Here is a 12,362-nt window from a genome sequence, read left to right as displayed (position 1 = left end):
TTTGTGGGAGGGAGGTGCCCAGCAGAGGTAATTCTTGGATCCGTGACACCTGCAGTGGACAACTGGCCAGGAGGAGCCACAGGAACCAGCCCCACTGGCTCAACAATGCCAATCATCAGCAGCAGGAGGCTCTGAGTAAGACCCTATTTGTGAGAGTCCCCTGAAACTTTAAAAGACAAACGCAGGAGAAGCGGCGGTGAAGATGGACTAAAGGCCTCATGGTAACAGGTCTGTAGGTAGAGCCAGAGAAATCAATGCTTACTGTTTTTAATGTGTCACGCTTTTTCTTCTTCCTTTTACTGCTAGATGGGGTTGGCAATCCTTTGTTGAGAACAAAAAGTATTTTACATTTTTCCACAGTGGTAAAGAAAAATTTACGGGGCTCATTAGAAATATTTAGTGGATGGAAAGTAGTTTGAAGGAATCAATGAAGTTGGAAATAATAATCAAAAGAAATCAGAAAGGGGTAGAGAAAGATAGAAATTTACAGATTTCAAAGCAGGGATACATGAGGAAAAAGGTTACATAAGTTCTCTCTTTGAAGCACAGCAGGTGTGCAGGAAGGGAATAACACCCATCCAAATGCTTGTGCTCAAGAGATTCAGGTTTCTCTTAAAGTGAGGTCCTGGGAGTGCAGACTGAATGTATTTGAGGAAACCTAGGTTCAGACAGGTTAATTGATTTTTCTCAGAGTTACACAGCTGTGGATTTCACAGCTTAAAAAAAAGTTACAAAAATCCTAATGAGAATTATAACTGAGAAGTAGGTGTCTTTTTTGCTTACAGAATATTCTATGGCAAATCCTAGACTCAGGTTCTTATAGCCATAGCCCCAAGCTGTGCCAAACATCCCCACACACCCACTTTCCCAATCTCTCCAACAGACCTCATAAGTTATCTAACTTATGTAGTTATGTAGTTATGTAGTCTACGGCTATTTAGCCAACACCTGCATACAATCATCATTTATTAAATTGCCTAGGCAAACCAACATCAGCTTTGCTATATCTGGGCAAATATCTCTCCTATATTTGGCCTTTTAGCCACAGTGTGATGATTGGAATGTCTTACAGAAAGGAAGCTTTCTCTGAGACCCAATGCAAGGGTGAGGCCGCAAGCCTCTGACGGAGGTAACTTCCTGACTTGTATTTGGGATTTCTCCAAGCTGCTGAAATAATACTTGTAGTGTTTCATGGACACATGGAAATTTAACACCTCCAAAGTTAAGCCTGACGCTCTAAGGTGGAATGCTGAAAACGCAGAAAGCAGAGCAAGTGTAGGTGATGATTGCGTTTCACCTTCCTAGTGCCTTCATAGGGAGCTTCTGGATTTATGTCTCACTGGGTGAGGCCGCCCTCTCCTGGCCGACGATCCCACTGGCTCAGTCACAGCAGGAAAGCGAGAGCTGCAGGTTGCAGAAAGACAGAACTCCACTCTCAGGGGAAACTGCTGACAATGCCAAAAGTCGGAATCTCTTCACTGTCTCTTCACATCCCAGCTGTCAGAGAAGCTAAATTTAAATTTTAACTTAAGCAAGATTGTGTTTTTTATAGAATATTTCAACTCAGAGGGCAAATTTCATTCTAATGTGACAAAAGCAGCATTAGGAAAAGACTTGAAAATGTGTGCTTTTGAATGTGACCTGAGATATGGCTTCCAAAGCTGGCCATTGCTCTCCTGGCCCAGAGCCTGACCCCGCGTCATGATAGGAGAAGCTGAATCTCATACTCTGTAAGAACCTGGCTTACTCCTTCATTAAATGTGAGCTCCTCATTCTCAGAAGTGGATCACTGTAGTTTGAAGGATCAACATTGATCAAACATACCCATTTCTGCCAGTTTTACTCCCCTCTCTCCCCTCTATGCTGTTACTAAACAAGAGAAGTTATTCTACAATTTGTGTAAGTTATAAAATAGTAATTAAAGATTTTGGAATATGTGAAAAATTAAACAATCCCCCTACCTACCTACAGTATTATTTTAATGTTTTTCCTTTTTCTCATTTTATATGCACATTTACACTAAATGTTTATGTGTACATATATATTTTAGCCTATATCTATTTTTATTTTATTATATTACTTTTGATTTAGTATGTGTTTTATTTACTATGTAATATATGACATAGAAATATATATTTTATATTATCACCTTACATTTATAGCTTTCTTCTGTAATGTTGATTAATTATCATCATGAGTAAATTATATTTAGAGAATATGCTGCAGCAATAAAAAGCTTAATAACAAGGAATCTGGACTAAAGTAGATCAGGGTAAGCTTACATCCAATTAAGAAAGCTCTTCGGACACATATATATTCCACCTTACTCCTGGAAGCAAATGGAGCTACTAAAATGTAACTTACATTCTTAAGTTTTCCATGATCTGTGTACCCCTGTTGCCAAAGATATACTACAGTAAGAAAAAAGAGAATTTTATACCTGAAAGATTTTGGTCTGTGCTGGCTTGTAGGGAATATTCTCAAAGACTAGCTTCAACTCTGTCTGCCGTTGTTCCTAATAAATTATCCAAGTATCCAAAAGTCTAGAGTTCATGCTGCCTCCAGCCATTGAGGCCATTCACCTGGTGAGATGTGTTTGCCCCAACGAAACACGGGCCCCCTGGAGAATATATACCTGTCTGCAGTCATGTTCCATTATGGTTTTGCTTTCAGTTAGCCAATCATATATATAATTCATAGTAAGGGTATCAAGGTCTGTTTTTTTCCACCAGCAAGCCCATGGCAGTTTGGGAACCAGAGGCATTCAGAGTATCTGAAATCACTCCAAGCCCCAGGGTGGGCTGGACCTACCTGAGAGCCCTGTTACAGGGCGAAGGCAGGCTGTTCTGTGTCTATTTTCTCCTTAAGCCATTTCATACACACATCTTTGATGAGAGCATCTAAGTGTCATAAAATGCTGACATTGGACCCAAAGATAAATTACCTTGAATGAAATGGGCTGGGACTTCCAATTAGCAGCAGAAATTCCAGGAATTTCCATATTACTTGGCACCCATATTATCAGCTAGATATAGGGAGTTTGGACTTAAAAATTCAGGAGCATGGGGATGCATGGTAGTGAATTCCTGTAATTTTATGTTGCCTTGGCATTCACTTTGAATATAAGTTGGACTTTCTCATACAAGAAACAGGGCTTAGTCACCCTTGGCACAATTTCCAGTTCTCTATTTCATCCCAGTTCCTTAATGTGGTAATCCAGATATGTGCCTTATACAATTGCCCCCTGTTGACCATCTTCCCTAAAAGATAGCTAGATATCACCTATTGGCTTACCCCACTGACTCCTCCATCCCCCATAGACTGCACAGATATGCTGCAGTGACAACGTCTCGGTTAACAGCATGGCCACATAGAACTTGCACCAGCTTGTTTTGCACCAGCTTGTCTAATTTAAACTTGCAAATTAGAACTCCCATGGAAACCCACCTGGATAATATCTTGGAGTCCAATAAAAGCTTTAGCACACAGGCCCCTCACTCTCTCTTTTGCTCTCCACTTTCTGGTTCTGGTTGAGCATGTATGTCTAGAATGGCTCCCCCTACCCATTGGCCCTACAAGGAGGGCTGCCCTTTTCTCTAATCTGTAAGTAATAAACTCCTTCTATTATTATATGGTTTTAGTTGCATTGCCTCCTCTGCATCTCATCTGACTGACACACCTGAATCTAACTTCTTTCCAAGGGAAAGCTCTCTTACACAATGGATATCTTGGTAGAAATAAACTGGGCATAGGTCAGACAAGAGCCACAAGGGGGCCTGCTGGTATAAGCATGTTTCCTGTGAGTGGGACACCTGGTCATGGGTTGAACGCTTAGGCATTAGGCAACACTTAGGCATTAGGCCATCCACTAGGATAAAGAAGTCACTGTAGACATCCATGACCAAATCACTGGAGCCCTGTCAATGCAGGGTTAGAATTCATACTCATTTTCCAGAGAGAAACCTCAAGAACAAATTAGAAAAACAAAATTGCAGTACTCACCCACAGCCTCCTGCTTTTAGAGAAGGGGGTGCCTGCAACTTTCCCACTAGCCTTTCACTCTCTGTCATTTCCCATCTCCATACGAGATAAAAACTTTAGCTCACCCCTGCTAGGGAAGGGCAGAAGTGAGGAGAAGCTAGGCAAATGGTTGGAACTGATTACTTCTCATATTTCATCCTAATTTGCATTAGTGCTCAACTTCGCATCACTGTCTCTGTGTATATAATTTTTTTAGTAAAAAAATTTCCTCTTCTTTTCAATTTTGAGCCTGAAATTGTGAACAATTTGATTGCTATTTTTTAGTCATATTAAGATTCTCTTAAAATATACTCACACATTGTTATGTATCTAGCAGGCATATACTAATGTATGTTCTTGTAAAAATATGCCTATGGGTATTTAATGCTGGAGACAATTACTGTGTTTCATTTCAACTTCAGTCCACAGCATGGGACCTCTTCTGAAAGTGCATGTACAAAAATGATTATGTCTAGTATAGCTCAAAGTATTATCTTCCCTTCTCATTCCTGGAGAATATTACATTTTTTTCCTCCCTCCAGAATTTTGTAATTACTGTAGGAAAAAGAAAAATTAAACGATGCTAAATTTACCAAGTGCAGATCTTTCAAAACTTCACAGGTAAAGGTGTCACAAAAACATTTTTTAAAAAAATGGTTTTGTCACAGCTTTAATTAAAGAATTAGCTAAAGACTTGCTGTCTGAACATGAAATTATGCTATCTCACAAAATCTTTCCCTCTGTGATTAAAATTTGTAATCCTCATGTTCTTTTTTGATTTCCTGCTATATAAAAATATATATTTAGGGCAGGGCACAGTGGATCATGCCTGTAATCCCAGCACTCTGGGAGACCTAGGCAGGAGGATTACTTGATCCCAGGAGTTTGAGACCAGCCTGGGCAGCACACACAGACCCCGTCTCTGTCTGTGTGCGTGTGTGTGTGTGCGTGTGTGTGTGTATATGTGTGTGGTGTATATACATGTGTGTCATATATATATATATCTCACATAAAAACTAATGTGAATTTCCTTTTCCTACCTGTACTGGATCAAGTTTAAAAGTCCAACACACATAGGGGAAACATTAAGAAATGTAAGTCATTGTCATCATCATGGTCATCGTCACCAAACCCTCATTTGGCTGGTGGGAAACAGATTCAAATTCAGTTCTGTTTGAAGTCTGAATTCAAGACATTCACATGTTGAGAGCTTAATCCTTATCCTTTACTGCCTCATGTACTCTGTGTAACCAAGAGAGATGATAGACTTGTATTTATTTGTGCCTTCACTTTGGTTCTACATGGACACCTATTCATCTTCTACATAAAACTGTATTTATCCTGAGCCAGTCTGGCTAGGCTTGTGTTCCTGAATATTGAGAGCTGTCTGAGTAAATGCTCTCTCTAGATAATTTTATCCTATGTCATAGGTTTAAATCTTACCCAAATGCTGGTTATTTCTAAACTAACACGTCCAGCTTTGACCTCCCCTCTGTGTGCAGATTCAGACACCTGACTGCCAAATTAACACCTCTCCTGGGACACCTGAGAAGCATTCTGAATTTAACCACTCCAAACAGAAACTTTGATTCCTCCCTGCCCCAAATATGGTGCTTCCCCTCACTTCCAGTCTTAGTGGAAATATCATCTCTAACTATCCAGTGGCTCAGGCCCTCAATTTAAAAATCAGCCTGGATTCCCTATTTCTTACACACTCCACGTCCATTCCATTGGCAAAGCCTGTCAACTTTATCTTCACAACACATCCTAAATCGAGTTCTCACCTTTTTTGTAGCTACTACCCCAGGCTATGCTTCCATTATCTCTCTTCTAAATTACTGCAGTCACTTCTGACTGTTCCCTTTACTTCCATTACTATTTTTTTTCACCACCTCAATCCCTGGCTATTTTCCAAACAAGAGCCAAAACGATTCTTTCAAAAACATAGATCAGATCACATCATTTCCTACTCAAATTCTATAACAGATTTTCATCACATGAAACAAATCCATAAGTCTTCATCATTATCTCCTAGGCCACAGGGAATCTAGGTCCTGCTCATCTTTTGTATCTGTTACTTACTACTTTTCCCTCTGCCACTCTATATCACTTTTGCACTATTTTTCTTGACGTTTATTAAACCTCCCAGCTCTTGCTACCTTAAGGCTTCTGATTGGCTATTCCCTCTTGCCCCAGATATTGGTGTGGTTCTTTCATCATTTCTTTCACGTCTGAGCCTTCTCTCCAACAATACTCTCTCTACACACACATTGTGTCATTCTATATTCAACCACACTTCATTTTTTCCTCATAGCCCTTATCACAACCTAACACTATACTATGCATTTGCTTCTTAACTTGCTTACTGTTTTCTTCATTAGAATGGTCACTCCACAGGGGCAGAGATTTCGCCAATTTTGCTCATCCTTGTATTAAAAGAATTTTTTAAAGTGCCTGGCACACAGTAGGTTCTAAAAATAAGTGTTGAATTTTAACATTATGCTTTTAATATTTTTTCTAAAATAGGCCTTTATGCTCTGTATTCTTAGATTATGCTGAACACAATTGTCTTTAAGATTTGCAGCATTTGTTAGAAATGCTAGTTGTGGTGCTCTGTTAGAAAGTACAGATCCAAGGCTGGGCGCGGTGGCCCATGCTTGCAATCCCAGAACTTTGGAAGACTGAGGTGGGTGGGATCACAAGGTCAGAAATTTGAGACCAGCCTGGCCAGCATGGTGAAACCCCATCTCTACTAAAAATACAAAAAATCAGCTGGGCACGGTGGCACGTGCCTGTAATCCCAGCTACTCAGGAGGCTGAGGCAGGAGAATCGCTTGACCCCGGGAGGTGCAGGTTGTAGTGAGCCGAGATCGTGCCACTGCACTCCAGCCTGGGTGACAGAGCGAGACTCCGAAAAAAAAGAAGAAAGAAAGAACGAACAGATATAAGAAAAGTATGATAAAAGTGTGGGAGGCTGCAGTTGAATATGGCTTTAGTTCTCATTTTGAACATCAATGTAACAGCCACGGTAGATTAACGGCTTCCCTACTTTCTTTTTTTTAAAGCATTACTGATTACATTTCTCATATTTTTCTTTCACATCTCTTACATCTTATTCCATGAAATAAGTACATTTCTTTTCCTGCCCTTTCTTCCTGTTTAATGTTTATTCACACTTCAAAATGCATGTAAAATGTTAGCTTCATCAGCACTCACAGTTATAACTTTTTCCTCCTCTTCCAATATATAGCTAATTATATACAATCTTACTATAGAATTTATTATGTTATTGCAATCTGATTGTTAAATAAACTAGATTTAGTGAGATGAAAGCAGAAAACATAGCTACTCTCTTTATCCACTAACTTTCAAATTCCCACACCCAGAGGTTAGTTTCAGATCATAGAATTTGTCATTGTGTTCAGGTACTGAGTATTTCACCTTTAAGTAATACAAAAGCAGCATTATCTGACACTGTTTTAAAACTATATTTGGAAATACCAAGAATTTAATAGCCAAGATAACTTTGAAAGAGAACAAAGTTTGAGGATTTACATGATTAAATATCAAAACTTACTATAAAGCTAAAGTACATCAAACAGTAAGGTGTTAGAACAAGCATGGACACACAGAATAATAAAACAGAAAACAGATCAGAAACAGACGTTTCTATATATAGTCACCTGATTTTTGACAAAAGAACTACTACAATTTAGTGTGTAGAATGGCCTTTTCAATAAAAGGTGCTGGATCAACTGGATATCTATGAGGAAAAATTTATTTTGACCCCTCCTCATACCCTATACAAAAGCGAGTCTGTGATTTGCAAAAATCACATCAACTAGATCTGAGACCTTGGTGAGAAATGTAAAATCATGTAGCCTCTTAAAAGAGAACATAGGACATTATTTTTATAACATTGGGATAGGCAACGATTTTCCAAACTGTACACAACTATAACTATAATTGATAAATTAAACTTTCCTAAAATTCACAATTTCTGCTCATCAAAAGACACCCATTTAGAGAGTGAAAATCTCAAGCACACACTGGGGAAAATTACTATATATATAACTAAGGATTTGTGTCCTGAATATATAAAAAGAAGCTCCTCAATAAAAATGGTCAAAGTGGTCAAAAGACTAGAAAAGGAACTTCACACACACACACTCACACACACACACACACGGTCAATACGACATCATTACTTATTGGGGAAATGCAATGAGACACCACTACACAATGACTCAAACTTAAAAGACTATTCAATGTAAAATTTAATATGTGAGGAAGTGGAGCACCTGGAACTCTCATACACTGCTGACTACAGTATAAAGTTTTACATGAACCTAGGAAAATTGTTTAGCAGGATCTACTTGTTTCAGTGTTCACTGGGTGGTCAGGTTGTGCTGCAGGATAGACTATCACAAGAATGTGGTCAAATGTGGTCAAGGTTAACAGGGGAAGAAGCGCCGCCCAGGGGAGAGACCAGTGCATGATTTGAGGTCACTGAGAGCAGACAAGACGCCTAGCAGGCTCAAGTGGTACAGTGTTTACTTACACCAAAATGAGAGAGAGAGTGTTTACAAGATCCAGTCCCTTGAAACGTGCCAGTCCCCCATAGGCAGCAGATCCACTCCAAAGCCAAGGTGGGCAGTATGGCTGCAGGCATCCCACTTTATGCTGCAGTAAAAGAATCCCCTCCCCAAAACCCACCTTTCCCATTCCCTCCCGCAGCTGTGGGATCTGAAATACGAAAAGCTGGGGAGAACCATTCATACATTCACTTAATCAGAACAAAGGAGTGCACACACTGACTCAGAAGCAGGGAAAGATAGTCCCACACAAGGTGACAAGCCCAGGTCAAGCTGCGAGGACTCTATCTCTTGATAAGGAAGTGTTCCAGGCCCAAGCCCATTCTTACGTAGCTGAGTGGGGGTGAGTATGAGACTGCCTTTCCCTACATTACGAATGTTCAATGTGGTCTTCTGTGACCCAGCAAGTCCACTCCTATGCACTTTACCCGTGAGAAGCACACATACAAATATGTTCATAGTAGTTTAATCCCTAATAGTCAAAGCCTAAAAACAATCCATCCATCACTAATGGAATGGATAAGCCAGTGGTGATACATTCCCACCACGGGGAGCTATACAGCAGTAAAAATACACTGCCGACCACACGACCCTCAGCATGACACCCACAGACATAATGTAGGGGGAAAGAAGCCAGCCACAAAAGATTTCATAATGCATAATTCCGTTTATGGAGAGCTCAAGAAGAGTTAGCCATCTAAAGTGATAGAAGTCAGGTTATTGTTTGTTTCCTGAGAAGTTCTGGCTAGGGTTTACATGGGTGGAGATAAGAAAAAAGTCATCCAGCTGTACATTTAGAATTCTTGACTTATGCATTGTATGTTTGCAAAAAAAAGGAAAAAAGTGCAACCTAGTCTAAAATAACTTCATTTCCAGCTCCCCGTCCCACTCCCAGGCTTGATTCGAGGCTCTCCAGGCTTGCAGAGGAGTAGGGAGTAGCACATCCACTTTTCTTCTTTCTTTATTCCAGTCTTACCTGCTTTCTAGCTGACCTTAAGGTCAGGCACAGGAGTGAGAGAGGATTTGAAGAAAAGGCCAGATCTTTCTGGACTGGGGCTTCTGTGAAAAATTCCCAAATTCTGCCCCTTTAATCACCCCTTGGATGGTGATTGTGTAAGGGACAGCCTCCCAGGGCACCGAGTCCCCCAGGGCGGACGCTTCCCGAAGTGCCCCTGGCACAGGCGGCTCTCAGTCACCTTACCCGGAGCCAGTTCTCTGGGGCTGAGTCTCTTAAGATGTCTACAGTACTGCTACCTCCCATGAGATAAACTCTTCCTACACGAAAATCCCACTACCTCTGCCTCTCTATAGAATTACGGACTCTTCTGATCATGTCGTTCTGCCTGCGCTCCATCACACAAAACACTCCAACTTCTTTCACAGAGAGGACTCCAGTCAACAAGAGTCACGCCCTGTTCCTGTCTCCTCAACTCCAGGGCTTCTGGTGTTTTTTGTTTGTTTGTTTTGTTTTTGTTGTTGTTGTTGGGTTTTTGTTTGTTTGTTTTTTCTTGAGGCGAAGTCTTGCTCCGTAGCCCAGGCTGGAGTGCGGTGGCGCTATCTCGTCTCACTGCAACCTCTGCCTCCCGGGTTCAAGCAATTCTCCTGCCTCAGCCTACCGAGTAGCTGGGATTACAGGCGCCCGCCACCACACCCAGCTTATTTTTTTGTATTTTTAGTAGAGCCGGGGTTTCACCTTGTTAGCCAGGATGGTCTCGATCTCCTGACCTTGTGATCCGCCCACCTCAGCCTCCCAAAGTGCTGGGACTACAGGCAAGAGCCACCGCGCCCGGCCCCGGCTTCTGCTCATTAAGCCATTCTTTGGATGCCGCTTTCACTCTTCTTGAGGTGGTGGGGGAGGAGGGGTCCAAGGAAGGGGGAGGAGCACAATTTGCCCACAATTCTCTTCAAGGAAAACCCCACCAATTTCATTTCTTCAATATCCTGGCCTCCTCTTTGCAGATGCTCTTGTTTGGAGGTGCCTATGGGCTAAGGTTTGCAGAATCAGCTCCGAGACCACCCCGACTGGGAAGTCAGATGAGATGGTCTGTCCTCTTCAGCTAATGCCCATTGTCCTTACTGTGGAGTATCAAAAGAATAACGGACATCACTGAAGAAAATGCACTTAACATCCTGTTATAAAACATATTTTTATTTATTTTTTTCACGTGACTACTTTTCTCTTCACCCCCTACTTTATTCACACTTTGAGAACAGACTGAAATGCATGTATTTGTATCCTAAGTGCTCAGATCTGATAAGGTCTGATTGCTGGAAAACAATGCATGAGAGTTTATATTCATTTAGCAACAACACACCAGTCTTCTAAACTTATTCTAATTTAGACATGTAAAAAGTACAATAGCAATGCATCTGTATCTGTCAGACTAAGCTAGCTTATGCTACAATTGTATATAAAACAATAGCCTCAGTGACTTAAAACACAAAAGCCTCATTTCTCACGCATGCTACATGTGCATTGCAGTGGAGTTTGTGCATCATAATGACTCAGGGATCCAAGCTGACTGAGGCTCTATCTCCACTTGTTTCCATGATCACAAACACAGGAGGAGAGGGAAATGTGAAGGACATGCTGGTTTCACAAGATTTTGCTCAGGAGACAGATGTCAATTTCCCTCACAGTTCATTGATCAAAGCAAGTTGAAAGGAGAAGATAGATATGAATGGGGTAGAGAATTCTAATCCTCTCCTAAAGAGATAATGAATATTGCTCCCAAATATTTTCCCCAAAGCTAGGAGAAGAGGCTTCAAATTCAACAAATCAGGCTGAAAAGCCTATACTCTTAATCCTATCAATCTATCTGTGTAATTACTATACATAACTATATGTGCTATCTCGGAACACATACAAACATACACATACTCACACAAATACATAAGTAGATGTATATTCCTTTTTAGCGTATTACAAAATGTAAAACCATTTCCAGATTTCTGTCCACATCTAGATCTCCCTTTGCCCCAATATTACAAACTTGGTGTTCATACTTTCAATGTGCATATTTTCATAATTTCATAATAAAGTTATCAATAAAAATATATTATATTGTGTTTCATATTTAAATAAAATGATATTTTTGTCACTTGCTTTTGTCACTTTTACTCCACATCACATTTGAATTAACTACAGATTTTGTTAATTCCTCTTAAGTTTAATTGACATTATAGTCACACTGTGAAGACACTGGATCATATACTGGATTTCTCAAGAGTCCATGAGTCAAATACTTTTTTATTCTGCTTTAAAATTTATTTTACTTAAAAAGTTAGGAAGTCTTGACAAATGCCAAAGCAAATGTGTTCTGTGGCTTCTTTCAGTTTTGTCTATGATGGAATCAGGAAGAGAGACTTTCAGTCAAAGCAGGAGGGCACCAAGTTAGATTACAAAGTTGATGCACAGTTACTTATTCTAAACCTGAAAAAATGTTCAAAAGCTCTGTATATCACAAAAACCCCAACAACTGGAAGGTACCACGTATTACAATGTGTCCCAATACATGGCTTCGAAGACTAGAAACCAGGGTACTTGTAAGTGATCAGATATCTTCTGGATGTTCTAGATGATATAACTAGCTGCTATGGTTTGGAAGTTTGTCCTTTGCCTCATGTTTCACTTGGATCCCCAATGTTGGAGGTGAGGCCTATTGAGAGTGTCTAGGTCATCGGAGCAGATCTCTCATGAATGGATTAATGCCCTCCCTCAGGGTGAATGAGTTCCCCCTCTTAATT

General features: G+C 40.4%; 1 long non-coding RNA gene across 1 annotated transcript in view; it reads left to right on the top strand.

Moving 5' to 3' along the window:
* LOC101928273 (uncharacterized) overlaps positions 1 to 11,672 on the top strand; it is a 49,179-nt gene extending 37,507 nt beyond the window's left edge. The window contains exon 3 of the long non-coding RNA NR_120402.1: positions 10,575 to 11,672. This is a non-coding gene — a long non-coding RNA (uncharacterized LOC101928273). The remainder of the gene's footprint in view (positions 1 to 10,574) is intronic.
* The last annotated feature ends 690 nt before the right edge of the window (positions 11,673 to 12,362 follow it).

Source organism: Homo sapiens, chromosome 2 (genome assembly GCF_000001405.40).
Source record: "Homo sapiens chromosome 2, GRCh38.p14 Primary Assembly".
Taxonomy (NCBI): Eukaryota; Metazoa; Chordata; class Mammalia; order Primates; family Hominidae; genus Homo; species Homo sapiens.
The sequence above is the reverse complement of the archived record's forward strand: the minus strand, read 5'-3'. Positions and strand labels throughout refer to the sequence as shown.